General features: G+C 39.2%; 1 protein-coding gene across 3 annotated transcripts in view; it reads left to right on the top strand.

Moving 5' to 3' along the window:
* The window catches only part of COLGALT2 (collagen beta(1-O)galactosyltransferase 2), a 108,067-nt gene that overhangs the window by 52,498 nt on the left and 34,667 nt on the right, over positions 1-20,902 (top strand). For all 3 annotated transcript variants that reach the window (NM_001303420.2, NM_001303421.2, NM_015101.4), the window contains exons 2-5: positions 6,711-6,821; positions 10,017-10,134; positions 11,481-11,615; positions 15,758-15,962. In NM_001303420.2, coding sequence (NP_001290349.1) covers positions 6,711-6,821; positions 10,017-10,134; positions 11,481-11,615; positions 15,758-15,962 — 569 coding nt within the window. The remainder of the gene's footprint in view (positions 1-6,710; positions 6,822-10,016; positions 10,135-11,480; positions 11,616-15,757; positions 15,963-20,902) is intronic.

The following is a 20,902-nucleotide window of genomic DNA, read 5'->3' as shown; positions in this document are numbered from 1 at the left end:
AGATCCAGTCTTCATCTTTAATATGATTCCAGTGGCCCCATGCTTACCAATATGAGTTTAGCCCTAACAACCTCAGTAGGACTTGTCAAAATAAATGAGTCAGTTCTAATTATTTCTAGTTGGCTCTGAGTCTTAAGAGGCAAGACTTAGAAATGAAAACTAACTTCTGGAACAAGGAGAAATGTCAATGTTTTTAGACATTGCCAGATAAATCTCAATTTTTTTTTCCACAGCCAAGCAGTAAAGCGTCTCATCCTGCAGACATGTTGACTTCTTGGTCTGCTCTTTGTGCTCCCTTCCATGTAGCGGTGACAGTGCACCTGTTGACCTGGGAGCATCATCAGCCAAGGGGATCCCTACATGTGCTGTGATCACATCTCCAATACGTGTTTCCCTTAGTCCTAATTCAATTTTGAATCTGAGACTCATGGGCTTTTGCTAACTTGCACAGCTGGAGAAGAGGAAGAAGGGGAAATAGGAACCAAAAGCAGAATCAGAGGGAAAGCAGATGGGCAGCATTAGGGTAAGAGGTGGCCAGTGTGGATGTGGCACCTGTTTCTACCAGCACTCCCTTTTCAGGTACTAGCTCCAAAGAAAGCAGGCCAGGACTCATGGACAGAGAGGTGGCCAACCATGAGCACTGAAGCTGTCTCAGGGCCACAGCTCCCCTAAAAGTGGAAGGGAGAGACCTTGGTGGCTGGCGGGTACCAGGGCTCCTTAGAGGTAAAGGAAAGTTATTGTCCCAACATGACCTTCAAAGAAAATTAAAAACAGCTCAAGAGCTGAGCTCTCCTTGCTGTCTTTTTGTCGTTGTTGTTTTTCTTTTGAGACAGAATCTCACTCTCTCACCCAGGCTGGAGTGCAGTGGCACGATCTCAGCTCACTGCAGTCTCCGCCTCCCGGGTACAAGCAATTTTCCTGCCTCAGCTTCCCAAGTAGCTGGGACTACAGGCACACACCACCACGCCTGGTTAATTTTTGTATTTTTAGTAGAGACGGGGTTTCACCATGTTGGCTGGGCTGGCCTTGAACTCCTGACCTCAGGTGATCCGCCTCACCCTCCCAAAGTGCTGGGATTACAGGCGTGAGCCACTGTGTCCAGCCTTTCCTTGGTGTCTTATCCTGAGTCAGAGATCTGGGGAAGAGAGAGTGAGTGGAGGTGTTGATTTAGGTGTGAATCCACTCTAGTTGGAGAATTGAGGCAAAGACTGAGCCGTATGAGCCTCCCGGAAACATGGTCACCCAGCCAGCCCATATTTGTGTTTTCACAATCTGTGGTTTTCCAGTTTGATTACTGACTGTCAATTACTTGCAGATCACCTCTCCAGATGTCCAGCTGTCCTTGCACATCATTTGTTTTCTTCAAGGAATCCATTAGTGATGTCTGCGATTTTTCTGGGTGCCTTTTCTGGTCTGGTTGGGAGGAGGGTAACAGATTCGAGGCAGTACTCATTTTCCAAGGAGCCTTCAGACTGAGAGAGGGGCCACTGTGCCTCAGCTCCTCCTGAGGGGCCTCACACATTCTGGGTTCTCAGCTTCCTAGCTTCATGGAAAAATCCACCTCAGCCGCAGAGGTTTTTGTGTCTAGATGCTTGTGGAGTGCTGCAGCAGGACAAGCACTGCGCTGTTGCTGCCTTGTGCTACAGGGCTCTGAAAATAGAACCGTTAGCACCAGCCTCGGGTTTCCTCCAGAAAGCTTGCATATGGGCCTTTGGTATCTCTCTCTGTCCAACCCTCTGAATAGCCCAGGGCCTGTGTTGCTTTCATTATTATGCATTCAAATGGAAATATACTTTTGTCAGAGCGATTACAAGGCAGTAGTTAGAAGTGTCTGCCTGGATTTCTGTGTTTTTGCCTTTTTTGACATTGGGGAGGAGGAGCAGGGAAACTTAGTCTTAAGCGGGGACCACCAGGCTTCCTCGGTGGGCTGGTGTGGCCCTCACTGCTCTTCCTCCTCTTCCTCCTCTGGGAATGAGTGTAGGAGAGATTGGCCCTGCACTTCAAAGACCAGGATTCATGCACCTCTCTCCAACCACAACTGGAGGACGTGTTCATTTCCTCAGAAGCCTGAGAACAAACAGAATCTTAATTCAGGGAAGTAACACTACAGACAGTTTTTTAACTCAATAAAGAGAATATTTGAAATCTGTGCATCTGTTTTTAATTAGACATCTGTACCTCTGCATACTCCAGGCAGCTAATTTCTAAGGATGTTCATCAGGAGTGGATGCTTAGGCAGGTTTTGGAGTTGTTTAATCTGTACACCAGGAAAACACATTTCGTACGATAAGACCAACTTTGTCAAAAGGATTAGGAAATGCATTGATGTAGAGAAGGCAAAGAGAATTTAAGAAGTCCTGTGTAATGAAGAAACAACAACCAAGGAAAGAAGTAGATGCTGTATAAATTACCTAGACTATTTTTTTTAAGAGATGGGGTCTCACTATGTTGCCCAGGCTGGAGTGCAGTGACTATTCACAGGCATAGTTGTACTCACTGCAGCCTGGAACTCCTGGGCTCAAGTGATCCTCCTGCCTCAGTCTGTCAGGTAGCTAGGACTAAGGGTGTGTGCCACTGCACCTGGCAAATTCTCTTATGCCGTTTATAAATAATTTAAGAATAATGTAGAAATCTCATAGCTTTTGGCTAACACTGTGATAAGGAATTTTTGTTTTGCTTAGTTTTAACTTACTCCTCTTCATAATGTTTTAAGTGAAGAATAAGGTGCTTTATGGTAAATTCTGAGTTTCAGGAATTGCTCTCTGCATGCTTCCTATCACGAGACCAGTGGTTAGACTCTCATTGCGCTCTTCATGGCGTACCCTGGACGTTGGTAGCTTGTGGCCATGAGTCACAAAGGATGTGACTTTTGCTGACGTTGCACTTTTTGGCACAATCACAAACTCAGTGGAGCCTGTGGCCTTCTTCCACGTTGCTTTCTGGACCACTTTCCCACCTCTGTGAGTTGCTAAGGGCTCCTCCTACCCCATCTTGGTCCTAACATGCTCACCTGGTATCCCTCAAAACTGTCAGATTCACACATCACCTCTCTCCCTCTCCAGGCCATGGAATGTCCAGGTGGGCCTGTGGGTCGTTCTCCCTCCTAGACCTTGCCGAGAAGAGAAGAGTTGGTTCTCATCTAATTTCAAGAAGACACTTGAAAGTAGATCAAGTTGGCCATTGGTGTCATCTGTAGTTATTGGATAATGTTTTTAAGTAGGCTAGTTTTAATTTAAGTATCTATTTTACAAGATAATATTTTCAAATATTACTTACATACCTCTATGTCCCATTTTTCTACACCCTATGGCTTAAGTTACATAGTTTTAAGTTTCTTGGTATTTTACAGAAATGTATTCCCTATCTAAATAGAGTTCCACTGTGCTTTGCTTAACAATGTATTTTTCTCTCTTGAACATTCCTGAACATTCCCTCTCTTAAAGATTATTATTTTAGGAGATAAAAAAAATTTTTTGAATATATTTAGTGGCAATTTAAAACCAATTAAAAACTATAATGTTTCATGTTTAATGAAAAGGAGTTTTTTGTGTTTTATTTATTTATTATATTTATTGAGAGAGCATCTCGCTCTATCACCCAGGCTGCAGTGCAGTGGCCCGATCTCGGCTGACTGCAATCTCCACCTTGCAGGTTCAAGCGATTCTCCTGCCTCAGCCTCCCAAGTAGCTGGGACTAACAGGCACGTGCCACCATACCCAGCTAATGTTTTTTTTTTTTTTTAGTAGGGACGGGTTTCACCATGTAGATCAGGCTGGTCTCAAACTCCTGACCTCAAATGATCTGCTCACCTTGGCCTCCCAAAGTGCTGCAATTGCGGGCATGAGCCACCGCACTTGGCCTTTATTTATATTTACTTTCAATTTATTTTAAATCATCCTACAAATAGCAGTGAAAGTAATGATGCAATAGAAGCTAAATTATTTCATGTGTACCTCTGATCATTTTTCAAAACTGTATTATATCATATATATTTTTGATGAAACTTTATTTATTTTTAAATTTCAACTTTCATTTTAGATACAGGGAGTATATGTGCAGGTTTGTTCCATGGGAATATTACGACACCCTTATCATATACTAAATTTCTGTACTTACTGTTCTGTGCCACTGGGCTCCCTATGTCATTTATCCCTGTGTCATTACCACACAGTTTTAATTGTAGTGGCTTATTTTTTTAGTATCTGCTTGAATTGTATTCTGTGTGGTTATTAAAAACCAGGATTAGGTGTGGAATTTTGTTAAAGACCTTTTACACATTTACAGAGATAATCATGATTTTTCTTCAGGTCCATAAACATAGTGAATTATGTTAGTGAAATTCCTTCATATTGAAAATTCTTAGACCATGCTATATTTTCTTAATAAGATGTTGGACTCTGTTTGCTAATACTTCATTTAAGATTTTTGCAGCATGTGCATTAAAGGATATTGGTCTGTAGTTGTGTGCCTGTGTGTGTGTGTGTGTAAATCTTTATAAGGTTTAGACATCAATATTATACTTGCAATATTAGAAGAACTTAGAATTTTCATTTTTTTCCTGCACTCTGGATAACAAGCTGTATAGCATTGGAAGTATCTATTGTAGGATTTGGTAGAATTCCCTTGTAAAAACACATGAGCCTAGTTGGGGTTTTTTTCCTGTTTACTCTCTTCTTGGAAATTATTCATTTAAGCTTTATATCACTTCAGGAGTTAATTTTGCTAACATGCATTTTTCTGGAAAATCTTCTATTATATTTAGTTTTCAAATTTATCATCGAGTTGTACAAAGTAGTTGCTTACACATTTTTAAAATTTTTCTTTCAAATCAATCTTCTTGTTTCCCATCCTTACCATTTCTTATTGTTTTATATTTGTTTGTCTTAGGTAGGTTAACTACAGCTTGTCTTTTATTGATCTTTCTCAAAGAAGTAGCATTTTAGTTTGTTTCTACTCTTTTTCTGTTTTATATCTCACAACTTTCTACCCTTATCTTTATTAATTTCTTTATATATGTTTGCTTTGTTGCTTTTTTCCTAGCTTTTTGAGTAGAAATTTAACTCATTTATTTTTATTTATTTAAGCATATAAAACTGAATTTTTCTCTAATCACTGCTTTAATTGTATCCCAAAATTCTGATATGTAGTATTTTCATTATTAATTTTTGGAAGTTCTGAAATTGGTTTGTATTTATTTTTCCACTAGTAATTGTTATTTTTTAAAAAACAACTTTATAAGAGAGTTTTTAGTGGATTTGGGGGATTTTATTTTATTATCAACTTCTACGTATATGTCATTTAGATCAGAGAATGTTGTTTATATAATTTCAATTTTATGGAGGCTTTCTTTGGGATGTAATTGTTGGTCAGTGCTAGCAGATGTTCCATGTGCACTTGAGAAGTCTCTATTAGTATGTTGTACAGATCCTATATATACTTACTTGTTTCCCCATTTGTACCATCTTTAACTGAAAGTGGTATGTTAATATCTCTTATTATTGTTATTTCTGTTTTTCTTTACAGTTTCTATACTTTCTACTATATTAGGGGTCAGCAAATTATAGCCTACAGACTGCCTGTTTTTGTAAATAAAGTTTTGTTGGAACACAGCAATGCTCATTCATTTACATATTGTTTATGGTTGATTTATCACTACCATGGCAGAGTTAAGTAGTAGCTGCAGATAGTATATGGCCTGTAAACCTAAAATGTTTACTATCTATCGCTTGAAAGAAAGTTTGCCAACCCCTGTAATATATGAAAATGTATAGATATTCATACTTTGTATATTTTGATGTGAATGGCCTCCTTTAGTATTATAAAGTCTCCTTCTTTGTCATCTTAATACTCTTTGGCCTGAATTCTACCTCGTTTGTTGTCAGGATTACAACTCCTGCTTTCTTCTCTTTTTCTGTTTTTCATTTCATTATCTCTTCATTTATAGGTGTTCTGAATAACTGTTTTACATGTGTTGGGTTTTGCTTTGTGATACAATTTGAAAATACTTTTTAAATAAATGAGTTAGGCCCTTTTACAAGTGGATCCATTTGTTAAACTTTCAGGGTAGAACAGGCACAAGTTTTGTGTACATTATTTAAAGGCTTTGGAAAATACTCTATTTTGTAAACGTGATGGTAAAGTTAATCCAAAATAGATAATTGAACATACCTTAAATTTTGAGTTTTATATTGAGAATTATTATTGTAGCTTCACAATGATTAAAGCAGCATTGACTAGATATTTTGCTGCGGTCAGAAAATTGACTTGAAATGAAGATGAAGCAGAATTATTGCTCAAATTGAGGGTCATTGTTAATGAAGTTAAAAGGTGGAGTTTACATCCTGGGTAACTGAAAGTTAAAACATATAGAAAAATTTCCAAGAAGATTCATTAATTGACTCTCAGTTAATTCATTTTATGCTTACACTCTCTTGGTGTTTTCATGTGTTTATTTATTAATGCAACCATTTACACGTTCTCCAATTGGCTGAGCCCTGTTTTAGGATCTAATGACACAAAGATGATTTTAAGCAGTGTCTCTCACTTTGGAAATTTATTGTCTAGTTTGGACTATGAGGGAATTATTTTCATATATACAATTTTTTTTCCAGGAGTAGCCATTCTTCTTTCAGTTAGTCAGGGGTCTTTTGGATTTCCCTCTCTTTCATTGGATGACATAGTTAAACTATATTGTGCTTTCTCTCATGCAGGGCAGCCACTGATCACAATGTGGATAATACAACAGAAATATTCAGGGAGTGGTTGAAAAATGTACAGAGACTCTATCACTATGTGGAGTGGAGGCCTATGGATGAACCAGAGTGAGTAGCAAGTGCGAAATTTGTAAACTCATTATTTACCCTTCCTCTTTAACTAGCTCTTTAGGGCTTCCAGGTTTGGAGGTACATGTGACTTTTCATTGTCTTTCATTTCTGTAGCTATGTGAGTTCTGAATATCTGCCATTTCTCCCTTTTAGAGATCTTCACAGTACTCTCTTGCTGTTTACTCCCACAGCTGCCAGCCAAGTTCAGATTTTCATTACTTCATAAATAAATTGCCATGACAGTTTATATTTTTAAATATTGATATTATTTATTCATATTTTAAACAAACTTTTATATTTGGAGGATCATATTGAAAATGTGTATACTTTCTACATAGAGCTTGCTTTTTTCAACTTTTATCTTGATAATCATTCTATAGCAATAGTTAAGGAGCTAATTTTCATTTTTTTTACTGCATAATCACTGTTGTATGTGCATTTACCATAATTATTTAATTGATCCCCTACTGATGCTCATTTAGGTAATTTCCTATCTTAACCATAGAAATTCCTTCTTTCTTTCTTTTCCTTCTTTTCTTTCTTTTCTTTTCTTCGCTTCTCTTCTCTTCTTTCTCTCTCTCTCTCTCTCTCTCTTTCTCTCTTTCCTTCTTTCTTTCAAGACAGGGTCTCACTCTGTCACCCCAGCTGGAGTACAGTGGCATGACCATAGCTCCACTGTAACCTCGTACTCCTGGGTTCAGGCAATACTCCTCACTCAACCTCCTGAGTAGCTAAGACCACAGCCATGCACCACTATGCCTGGCTAATTTTATTTTTATTTTTTGTAGAGACATGATCTCACCATGTTGTCCAGGCTGGTCTTGAACTCCTGGCCTCAAGCGATCCTCCCACCTTGGCCTTCCAAAGTGCTGGGATTACAGGTGTGAGCCTTTGTGCCTGGTTACCATAACAATTTCTTTCTTTTTTTTTTTTTTTGAGACAGAGTCTTGCTATGTCACCCAGGCTGGAGTGCAGTGGTGCAATCTTGGCTCACTGCAACCTCCGCCTCCTGGGTTCAAGCAATTCTCCTGCCTCAGCCTCCCGAGTAGCTGGGACTACAGGTGTGTGCCACCACACCCAGCTATTTTTTTGTATTTTGAGTAGAGAGGGGATTTCACTATGTTAGCCAGGATGGTCTCGATCTCCTGACCCTGTGATCTGCCCGCCTTGACCTCCCAAAGTGCTGAGATTACAGGTGTGAGCCACCGTGCCCGGCCACCATAGCAATTTATTAATTGCTTCTATCTCCAAGTCATCCTACATACCATACAGTCAAATCAATCTACCTCAAATACAAATGAAATGGTTTCATTTCTTTATTAAAAATACTTCACTTACTCTTTAGGACCTGAACAAAGTTCAAACACCTAAGACTTATATTTTTAAAATTCCATGAATTTAGCACCAAAAGAAAATGTGCTTTATCCAGAACGTTTCTTTTATTTCCAAACCCCACACTGTTGCTTGTGCAGGTCCTGGAAGACCCTTTCCTTCTTTATAACTAATTCTTATCCTAAATCATGCCTACTATAGAAACCTATTCTTAATCACTCAGTTATAAATATCTACCTTTGTCTCAACAATTGTATTGCTTATATTCTATGTCATCCTTTTTGGCACAATGATATACGCAACCAACATTTTCCCCCTATGCAATTAATGTATTTTTTTTCTAAATAAGTTGTAAGTTCTTTGGCAGGGGCTAGAATATATAAACACTTTATATTCCCCCTCTCCCCTCAGAGCCATGTTCTTGGCAGGCACTAAATTAATACTGGTTGGATGAACAAATAAGAACAAGAATAAATGTATTTAAAACTTACTATTATAAATGTTCCCAAAGCTACTACAGTTTTACTTTAAGGAACTGTAGAAATAGAATGAAGGAGTTGCCTGAATTTCTTCCCCAGAGAAGTCATTTATTGAAAGCCAAATTTGTATTATAGTAATAATAAATGCCATTCCAGAACAAGTTTCTGTTCTTCTAGTCTTTCTATATGTAAGAATTATTATAAATATTTATATTATAAAGAAATATATATAAATATGATATAATATATACATATGTGTTTCTCAAATCCAAGCCCATGGACTGTATATCAAGCAAAATTTAACAGTGAAGTCTGAACACCGTAAAAGATTGTAAACACTCCTTTAGAGTGCCTTATAATGGAGTTTGGCCTAACAAAAATGGCACAGAAATACTTTGTGTCCCTTCTTTGCACCTTGGTAATGTTCTCTGCAGCCAGGTTTTGACTAAATATATTATATGCCAAGGTCAGTGTGAAAAAATATTAGAACAGGCATTTTTGGGGGGAATATATTTAGAAAAATGAGAATTCCACTGATTTTCATTGAAACAATAACTGGGGAAGATATTCCAGAGAATTCCTGTGCTGTACATAGTTTTATTAACCTTATTTGTTTAGTTACAGTCTCATTGTTTTTGCAGTTTTTCACTCACTAAAACAAATGTACTGCCAGTGCAGCTATGAGATCTTGAAGTGGTGGCCAGTTTTGGGTTACTGCAACAGTATCAATGTCCGTGCCAGCTGGGTGCCTTCAGAAGGGTTTTGGAGCGTGCTCCAACCCACTTGCCTATGTGGCCATGAAGGAGTCTTGGCCTGGCTGTTTTGTGAATCTTGATAGAGATCCCACGACCTCACTTTACCTAAGATAGATCAATGTGTTAGGCTGTGTGGAATCATTTGTGGAGACTCCAACAAGTAGATTAAACCTTTGATTTTCCTGGGAAACTCATGTTTTACACTGCATACTCTCCAAATCTATTCGATGTCGGGATGTATAAAAATTGTCTAGGAACATGAGCTTTTTGCTTGGATTCAAATCTTGATTGTGCCCCATTGTGTAACATTGGACGAATGACTTAACTGCTCTACCCTGATATCCTCACCTGTGAAATGCAGAGAATAGCAGTACTCACCTCAAAGGGCTCTCATTAGAACCCACTGAAATATTTCATGTAAAGATTCTTGTATACAATGAGCAGTGAGTTACTTGACTTCTCATTGCTCCGGTTTCCTCATCTGTAATATGGGGATGATGATAACAATAATAATAGTATCTACTTCCTGGGATTGATAGAAGATTAAATGAATACATATAAACATTTAGGACAGAGCCTGGTACATGTAGGCACTCAATAATGATGAGCTATTATTATTATTTTAGGTCTTACCCTGATGAAATTGGACCAAAGCACTGGCCAACCTCCCGGTTTGCCCATGTGATGAAACTACGACAGGCAGCCCTTCGAACTGCGAGGGAAAAATGGTCAGACTACATTCTGGTAAAAACAGATGTTTGATTTCTTGACAACTGTCATCTCAGGTGTATCCAAATCAGTCGTCCAAAAACTAGAACCATGGAAGCAATCAAAACAACCTTTTTGATTAGGCAGTGCCTCCCCCACTTTTTAAGAAAGGCACAATGAAATTTTTGGTAGTTTAAAATTGGGCTACCTGGACTTCATCTTCAGGCCCACATGCATTTTCAGTGGGTAAGTGAAGAAGTGCCTGAATTATTTGGTCTCTGCCATGCAACAGGCATAAGAACTCTGCATATTTTTAGCTCACAGGAAAGGCTGTAGGTAAAGCAATGTAAGTTGTTCTTACAACTTTTTGGAAGAATTTGGGGGATATGAAAAAGTAATTATCTAAAAAAGTGATTCAGCTGAACAGCTCTGAAATGGTTCCCTTTTGCTCCTGAATGATCTGGGGAGTAGCATCTGTTGCTTGGCACAGTGATGCTCTCTTTGGAGAATTTATGTCCATCCCCATCCCCTCAACCACAGTGAAAATCTGCCCAAAAATGTATCACGCACACTTGTGACACAAATCCTTTCATAGAAGTTTTCAAATTGTACTGACAATATTTAACATTGTGTAGCTGTTTAAATGCCATTGAAGTGTACAAATGTTAAATCACAAAATTTGGGGTAAACAGATGGACTATCATAAAAATGAAGACTTCTGAATTTTTTATTGTGATAAAACCTACAAAAGGTAAAATCTGTCAGTTTATCCCTTTTTCAGTGTATAGTTCAGTATGATTATTTCTTTTATAAATTAGAATCTGTTGTTATACTGTCTCTAAATAAATCACTGTTAACATGGACTTCTAAGAATAGGAAATAGCTTCACTGGTTAGCATGGGTTGATATAATGTACTTAAACAAAAATTCTACTTGTCACATTAAAATTCATTGATAGATCTGTTTTGAGCTACTCTGGCATTACTATAGAAAAGCTAAGTAGGCATGCCCATCTGTACCTAGACTGGGCAGCCAATAAGTGTTTTTGAATGAACCTTTAATGGCTTGGGAGCCATTAATATCTTGTGCCTAAAACACTAGCCAAAGTGTAGGTTGGTTCCTGGTTGAGGCTATGCCCAGTATGGCAGCACCAATTTACTGCTTAGTGCCTTATGCAGAGCCCAACATACGAAAGTTAGACTAAATATATTTTGACTGAATGAAAGCCACCTAGCTGCAATGGGTTTCAATAAGGAGGACATAGATAGCTGGTTCCATATGTCATGAGCAAGTTTCTGGGATCCTTCAGAAGGGCTGGGTTATTCTCAAACTCATTACTGAAAAGTACCTTTTCACCTAACATTATCCTTTTCTTTTCCTAGTTCATAGATGTTGACAATTTCCTGACTAATCCACAGACCCTCAATCTACTGATTGCAGAAAACAAAACTATTGTGGCCCCCATGCTGGAGTCTCGGGGCCTGTATTCTAATTTCTGGTGCGGAATCACCCCTAAGGCAAGTCTTTTGCTTAAATGAATTAAGGCTACTAGTTTTAACAAGGCAACACCCGGTCAACAGTAGTCCCATTCACCTTTCTCTTGTTTACTCCCTTGAAACATGCGTGTCATTGTGTTCCCAGAGCAAGCATTTTTTAGGAAGGGCAGTAAATCTGGGTCCAATGCTACACCCAGTTGGGCTCTTCTGTGTTAATTTATTATGAAAAAAATAGTCTAAAGAGCTTAGCCTTAGAAACGTCAAATTAGCCAATTCCTGATTCAGGAATTACTATTTTTAATTAATTCTTTTTGTCCTTACAAAACTAACATAAGAACACTATAGAAAAACTTAGAAATTAAAAAAAGTTTAAAAGAAAACCAACAAGACAGATGTTAAATCCCCATCACCGTAACAACATCATAGATAGAAACTTGCACGTTTTTAGTAACTGTGTTATCATCAAGTGGCTATGTTCCAATTTACTTAACCTTTATCTCGGTTTGAAAAACATTTAAATTATTCACAACTTTTTAACTATCGTGACCGTCATGATTAATATAATTTTTCAGCATTTAAGATTATATCCTTAGGATAGCTTTTTAGAAGTGGAATTACTGAGTCAAACAGTACAAATATGCCAGGCGCGGTGGCTCACACCTGTGATCCCAGCACTTTGGGAGGCCAAGGCGGGCGGATTACAAGGTCAGGAGATTGAGACCATCCTGGCTAACATGGTGAAACCTCATCTCTACTAAAAATATAAAAAATTAGCCAGGCGTGGTGTTGGGCGCCTATAGTCCCAGCTACTCGGAAGGCTGAGGCAGGAGAATGGCGTGAACTTGGGAGGCGGAGCTTGCAGTGAGCCGAGGTCGCGCCACTGCGCTCCAGCCTGGGTGACAGAGCGAGACTCCCTCTCAAAAAAGAAAAAAAAAAAAAAAGTACAAATATTTCAATGACCTTCGATGTATGTTGCCAAATTTATTTCCAAAGAGTTCTAATAATGAAAACTACCATGGTAGGTTATTTTTATAAAATTCAAGTTAAAAAAGGTTTGATTTTTTATTATTTCTTTTTTTCATAGTAAAATCTTCAAAATAGTGGTCTGTTTTAGTGAATGCTCATGGCTGGTTATATTTTTTATTCTTTAATTAAAGAATTAGATAAATTCAACTGATTAATGTAATATGTATCAATGTAGGATAAAAATGTGCTAAGCAAAATATGTTGGCCAGGAGCAGTGTCTCATGCCTGTAATTTCAACACTTTGGGAAGCTGAGGTAGGACAATTACTTGAACCCAGGAGTTTGAGACCAACATGAGCAACATGGCGAAACCACATCTCTACAACAAATCAAAAAATTAACCAGTTGTGGTGTCGTGCACACCTATAGTTCCATCTATTCGGGAGGCTGAGCAGGGAGTATTGCTTGAGCCCAAGAAGTTGAGGCTGCAGTGAGCTATGATCACACCACTGCACTGCAGCCTAAGCAACTGAGACCCTGTCTCAAAAAAAGAGGGAGTATGTTCAATGTATTCTCATGGCCAAAGGGCTAAAGTTTGAGTCTCCCCTTTATATTTGGTTTTGTTTTGGATGAGAAATAAGGTCAGTAGTGTGCTGATAAATGTTTAATAACTGGCTCTTTGTGGGAAAAACCCTAGTTGGTAGCATTGCCAATTTTTATGGTTTAAATACTCCCACCATGCAAACAGCTTAAATGTTGTTAAGCTAAGGGAAAGGTTAAGTAAACTGCAGTATAGCCACTTGATGATACAGCTATTAAAAACATGTAAAACTGCCACATGAGGTGTCATTAGAGTGGTGGGGATTAACGTGATTTTTGTTTTTATGGATTCCAAGCTATCAACATGTCAACTGGTTTGCAAACTTTCTGAAAATTTAACAATGTGTGGTCCAGTACACCACTGGATGAAGCATTCCTCTTTTGTTGTAATTATTTCTTCTAGCTGTAAGAGATTTTGAATGCGTGCTATTTTCTGTGTCTCTTTTGGGAAGGTAATATGTTCATATTTCTAACAGCCATTCACTTCCTTGGGAGAAAACATTATATTGGTTTAAATTCATACATTTTCAGTGTTTCACATGGCAGAATCACTTGAGGGTTGTTTTTAATGAGTTGTGCTTTGACATCAGCAACAAGGGTGGGTTATCCTAGTGGCCGCAGCCTACAAATTTGTATTATCTCCTTATTTACTTTCAGGCTTAAAAGCAAATAGGAGAAATGTGCTCACTTGTTTTGTACAGTAAAACTAAATTCTGAGCAACTTAGGGACAAGTATTATTTTCCTCCATTTATTTTTGGCTTTCTACCATCCCAGTTAGTCTCTACTAGAGCAGGAATAGAAAGGGCCAGTGACTTCATAAATTCAAAGCAGGACCTGGTTCCCAGAGCCTTTAAACTCATTCAAAACAAAATGTCCTTGATGTTGTCTGGCCAATGAACAGGAATTATTACCAACAAGATTCAATTTATGTGGAAAAAGGAACACATTCATCATCTCTGCCTCTTTGCAGGAGGCACATTTATTCTCCCTCACTCTCCCTGCTTCCTTCCTTCTCACCCCCACCCCAAGGATATTCAGTGATTCATCATCATCATGGATTTTCCAAGCTAATCATTCTGGGAATATTGTTCCTAAGTAATCTAGAACTTTATATTAGACGCAAGTACTTAGGCAGCCCTTTAAAAAACCCGAGTCCCCTTTATCTCTTGGAAGACTGCTCATAAGCTGAAGTATTAGGAAAACCATAGAGGATGTTAAATGATCCTTAAGTTAAAGGCTAATAAAAACATTATAGTAATGATAATACTTCATATAATGAATTGCAGTTCCCAAAATAGGTTCATAGACCTTATCACATGTGATTCATTCTGCAGCTCTATGAGATTGACAGAGCAGCTGTTATCCCATTTTTCAGGAGAAAAAACTCAGGCTCAAAGAGGGTAGGCATGGACTAAGATCAAACGGCTAGAAGGTGATTAAGATGACTCTGAGACCCACATCTTCTGAGTCCTCATTTTTGATCCTCCTCCCTTATCATGGGGTCGGCATTAGGGTTAGCTCAGCTAGGACACTCTTCTAGAACCTGAAGGGAATGTCAGAGAAGTAGGTGAGGCTGTAGCACCTTATGTGTGGATGCTGAATTACAACAGGAAATGTAACCATGAAGTGATGCAACTGATTAATGAACACATAAGAACTTCCAGAGTATGGTGCCCTTCGGAGTGCTGGCTTTGCAAAACTTAACACTCATTCCAGTGAGCCTGCCATCACCTAGAACATTTTCCAAAATGCCTGGCAAAGCTTCCACAAGTATGTTTTGTAAGCATGTTTTGTTGAGATATATCTTCATCTTTTCTGGAAATGATTCAAGCTTTGGAATAAGGAAATTGGTTGTCCTGTGTGCTTGTGCAGAAGGACGTTTCAGAAGCTGAATCCCCAAAAACTATGGAGCAGCTGCAGCTTCACCAGAATATTGACTAAGTAACTGCATTGAAAGAAGACCCTCATTTGTATATCTAAGTAATGCATGTTTAATTACAAATATTAGCCACAGTGTAATGTCATTTTAATAGGAGCCGGTATTTGCTGATACATTCTTGGTGCTGGGCAGTAGTCTCAACACTATTCAGGTTCTACCTTACTTAAATTTTACAGCTAACCCCATGGAGTAGATAGTGCCGTCATCCCTGTTTTAGAGATGAGGAAATAAGCGCAGCAAGGTTGAGTCACTTGACCCATACCTACAGACAATAAGTAGCTGAGGTAGGATTTGAACTCAGGGAGTCTGACACTGGAACCTGTGCCCTTAACTGCTCTGCCACTTCTTAATACTCATGCTTCATATTTAATCATAAGTCAACATAAAATACACTTTTATGAAATTATTAAATCTAGAGATATGCTGAAATAAAAGTTACTTCTTATATCAAGACCCTTTTAGTATTATTTTATATGTAGACAGCATTTCTTGTGCTCACTTGGAAATTCATAGGCCATGATAAGAGGAGTGAAGGTGGCTTTGTTTGGGAGCTTGTATATAGCTGGTAATGACTTGAAAGGAATCAGTCTAGCAAATGACTGAGAAGGATGAAGACTTCAAATCAGAAAACACAACCCACCTATTTGCTCTTTTACAGGGCTTCTATAAGAGGACCCCAGACTACGTTCAGATTCGAGAATGGAAGAGGACAGGCTGCTTCCCCGTCCCCATGGTCCACTCCACCTTCCTAATTGACCTCAGGAAGGAGGCCTCGGACAAGCTGACTTTCTACCCCCCACACCAGGACTACACCTGGACCTTTGATGACATCATTGTCTTTGCCTTCTCCAGCAGGCAAGCAGGTACTGTTTGTCTTTGGTTGTAGTGCCACAATGGAGACACAGCAAAATGACCAGCTCCTTTGTTTTGTGCATTTTATTAAAAAAAAAAACCCTCATATGTCTGGTAGTGAGAGGCAGTAAATTGTCTGCAATAACCATACCAGCACCCTCTATGTTGCTGTCCCTGGGAGCACCAATGACCAAGAGCCAGGGCTGGCCTCTACCCAGGAACCCACTCTATTTTGAGTTGGAGGGACTGGTGGTGATATTGGGAATTATGGGAAGGTGATTGCTTCTCTGTGGTGCTACTGCATTGCAATTGTTTATTATAGAAGTTCATTTATTAATTAGGAAACTGTCACAGAGGCCTAAAACAACACTGGCAAAGACCCCAGACTTTAAAAATGGAAGTTTATTTCTTCTTGAAAAAGTCTGAGCTGCTGTAGTGGCTTTGTTCCACAAAGTGTTCAGAGTCCCAGGCTTCTTGTGTATTGCTTCTCACACTCCACGAGGTACTGCCCTTAATTGTGGAGTCCCAGGTGTCTCACCACCATGGATGCGTTTCAGCCAGCAAGGCAGAAACAACAGGGAGAACTCTCCCTGTCCCTTGAAGTGTGCAATCCAGAAGTTGAATGCAGTACTTCCATGCAAATCCTGTTAGCTAGAGCTTAGTCACAGGACAATACCTCACTGTAAGGGAGGCTCAGAATGTCGTCTTTATTCTCTGCATGCATGCACTGCAATTTTCACACTCTAGAAGAAGGAAAGAACAGATAAAGAGGCACCGAACAGTCTCAGCCTCAGTCCCTGTGGAAGGAGAGGCAAAGCGAGACTGAGGTCTTTTATGAACCACTGGGAAAGCATTTCTAGTGGGGCCTGGAGATTTTTGAGAAAGACAAGTCAACAGGAAGGAAAGTTATTTCTCTCATTTCACCCTACACTTGCTTCAGGAGGACAAAATTCACAAGAGCAGTTCAACAGCAAGACACATGGCATCTAACAGAGCAAAGCTTTGTTAGGATAATTCAGACTTTCCTGACAGAAGTTGGGTCCCATTATTAATGTGCCAGAAATGTGTCACTTAACCACTAGCAAAAATACGTTCATAAACCAAGAAGATGGTGAATAAACTCACTGTGGCCATATAACTGAGGGTGGAAAAGATGGTGCAAAGATCCTCCGGCAGCTGAGGAAGTGGCTGGCAGATGAGAATGTTAATACAAATTCAAGCTACAATTCACACATCAGACTCTCCTTAAAGCCATAGATGTCCCACTCATCAGTTGTAGATTTGCTGAGAATAAGAATATTTGGTAGAAATGGGTCAGGCTGATTTCCCCCTTGGCTGCTGGAGCAATTTAGACCCTTTGGCCAGGTGTAGGCATTTTGTAGCCCTTATGTCTAGGCAAAAGCAATCCTCATATGATTGGAAGATTTTTGTAAAGATTCCTATGTCAGTGTTAATGGAAACTCCTTCTTTCAGTTGGTCTGTGATTTGCTCTGACTTCCCCAGGATGGGAAGCAAAGTCAGGGCTTTTTGAGTCCTTTGAGTGCCAATCCCTTTCCTTCAGAGGTTGAAGTTAGGATGTTCCAAGAAAGTGAGATATTAACAATTACACGAATGACACTGCCTAACAGAGTCCTCCTTTATAGTCACTGCACAAAGCATTATTATGATGCAATGAACTAAATTATTATGATACATTGTATGAAACCAATACCTGGATATTGGTATGGGAAAAATGATTCAGGTTAAGCAGGAATTTTTCAGCTCTGCCCTGTGCTTGGCCTGTTCACCAGGATTTTGTGTGTTATTGGTCAGACTTTGAAAAGGCTTTTTTAGAACATTGAAAGCAGGTAGACACCCAAAGTTGTTTGGTGACTCATTTGGGAAGAGGAGATAGAAAAGGAAAGAGAGAGGATGAACTCCCAAGTGTTTCCTTCTGTTCCTGGCACGGTGTTAGTTGGGAGTTAAGATTTTTACATGTGAAAACACAACTAATAGTCATGAAGCAGTGAAAGCTAAGGGCCAGACTGGCGGTGCAGACCATGAACAGGGCAGGAGTCAAGGCAGGAAAGATTCACTGTCATTTTGGGGAAATGAAAGGTCTTTCTTGACAACTGTGGATTTTAAGGTAATATTGTACTTATCTCTAAGTATTTTCAAGAGAAACATGAATGAGCCTGGGAGTCATGTGCAGCCCAGGGCATGTCTCCAGGCTCTTCCTTCCTTAGTTTCAAAGCAAAGCACTTTCCTCTTTCTTCATGAAATATGATTGGTATTCTTTTGTTCTCACTCTTCTGAAGCTCCCTAGCTGTGTATCATCTATGTCCCAGGCAGGACCATCCAACCACAAACCTTGGTCCTAAATCTTTCACCCCAGACTCTAGCCATTGCCCCATGTGGGTGATGAGTGAGGAGCAATCCAAGTGTGCTGGTGAGCAGGGCTTGGCCACCCTTCTAGCCCAAGAAGAGAGCACATATGGTCATAGGCGCGTCTCTGTTCCTGTAATGAGTCCAGGGTCAAGAGTTCACCTCCCATTGTGGCCAGTGATCTGGGTTCTGTATCATGGCCACAGGAATCATCCCAGTGCCAGCCAGTCGTCTTCCAAATGTCTGATGTGAGTCAAAAGAGGTGAGTGATATGGGCAATGGGCAGACAGATCCTGAACACCACTGGTAGTGATCAAATTTGTCCCCTTGTGGAGGGATGGCAATCCCCTAGTGACTAATGGTCTTGGAACTGAGCTTCCAATTACTGACTGGGTAGAAAGCACTTGGCATTGGCTCTTTAGGGACAAAGATTTGGCACTAATGACTTACTATGTGACCTTGGACAAGTGACAGCCTGAATCTGATTTTTCATCACCAAAGATAGGGATAATTACATCAATCTGCAATGTTAAGGTACTATATGAGTACAAGAAAATGTTTAATATGTTTAAAAGAAAAACAGTCCTTCAAAATGTAGCGTAATTCACTTCTCTTTTTCAAAAGAAAAATTGTCTTCCCCAGAAGCAGCATTCACTGGGAGTGCAGACTCTTTCATAGACTTTATCTAATTATTAATACATTTTCTTTTAAATTTTCTGTTATCAAACTGCCCATGCACATGGTTGAAAGTATTCATATAGTTCCCCATGGTTTATTAAGAAATGAACAGTCCCCTGCACATCACCCTGCATCACTTCTGTCCTCCAGAAGGCAACCACTTTTATCTCTAATATTTACTTCCATGTTAAATAATATGCATGCATTGCTACTTCTTGATTTTCTGGCTTCACCGTGGGCATTATTTGTTGACTCTCCACTATAGACTGTGAGGAGTTAGCTCTTTTTCTTCCTTTTTGCCCTCTGCATGCAAACACATTCTTCTCATCACCCTGTTCTCCCATTGTAATTTCAAACAGATTGATGGTCAGTGTTCTTGTTGTAATCATGCAAGCCTAACTCCAAGCTTGGTCATTCATAGGCTATGATTAGTTTTCCTTTGCCATTCTTTGGAGGCAATTCCTTTAATAATTGCCTTTTTTGCTTAGTTTTATTATTACTAGTATGATCCAAAACTAATCACTAATTACCTCAAACTCCTCTCAGAATGTCCAGATTTGTCAGATGTCCTTTTTTGCATATTTGCGAAGACGTCTGTTCTGGAGCTTTCTAATATATTCTAATCCAAGTGGTGCTGAAGCTATCAACCTAAGACTTATTTCTCTTCTCTTATACACTGACTCTCCTGTTCATGTTGTTTATAATCTTTCTTGTTGGTTATAATCGTCCTCCTCTTCTTCCTCCTCCTCCTCTTCCTTCCTTTCCTCCTCGTCCTTCTCTCACATCATCCAGCAGCTTTCTGAGAAAGTATGATGGCAAGTAAATATATTATGGTCTTGCATGTCTAAAAATGCCTTCCTTGTACCCTCACACTTGATGGATAATTTGGATAGGTATCATATCATTTTTTTATGGAAGCCTCAGAAAGTTAAATGGTAAAATGGTTTGCCTAATTAGGGTAGAGATGCAACTTTAATATATTTTTCCTTCCACTTCCTGAATTCATCATGACTTTACAAGAAGGTGCACTTTGAAGCTCCCCAGAAGCATTCATATGGGCAAACAGCAGAGCTAATGAGTTTGCTCGGTGAAGGCAAGAGAAGGGACAGTGCTTGGTAGACCAGCCTTGATTCAAGCCAGATTCAGTAAAAGCAGGGAATAAAGGTTATTTTCTTTTCTCCTTCCTCTCTGTTAATGCCATGAGACAGCTTCACCTGATTTGACAGATGATGTAGCTGACTGGAGGAAATTTCATCTGCACAAAATAGAGGAGTCCCTATGCAGATAATTATCTCTCTGGAAAACACTGACAATTATCGCAATTAACAAATCACAGGCTTGGATACATGGACCAGAGGCTTGGATACATGGCGGACTCATCCTTTTCACTAAGCAGTCTTATCATTGATCAGGAGTGTCAATTGCTGACCAATGATGTGTATGAGACCATCCTGATTCCTATATTTCTAGCTGTCTGGTTAAACACAGATGCCTTATAACTCTGCAAGTTATCAGGTGGGGCTATGAAGAACAATTTGAATATGAGAAGGGTATTGCATACTTCTGGTATTGTCACACTACAGGTTCTTAACAGGACATTCTGAAATGCAGACTCTTTTGTCTCTATATGAACTGATTTTGGAAGTTTCATGTCTGTTGGTTGGCTCCAAATCCATGCCTGCTAAGGGAAGCAATAAAACCAGGGAGAATCTTGGAGAATTTTAAATTTCCTTCGTTTTTTCGTTTTTTTGTTCTATGTATGCCTAGATTTAGCTTTAATAATCTGTCAGCGTTACAGAATTTTCCTGTTTGCTTTCATATCAAATGTGGATTTCATTCCTCATTTTCTTGTTATTTCCTGTAGGTGGATTACAGTGTTCCATTCTGCTCTCCAGAATGGGAATTCCTT

Source organism: Homo sapiens, chromosome 1 (assembly GCF_000001405.40).
Source record: "Homo sapiens chromosome 1, GRCh38.p14 Primary Assembly".
Classification (NCBI taxonomy): Eukaryota; Metazoa; Chordata; class Mammalia; order Primates; family Hominidae; genus Homo; species Homo sapiens.
Note: the sequence above shows the minus strand (reverse complement) of the source record. Positions and strands in the feature narration are given on the sequence as shown.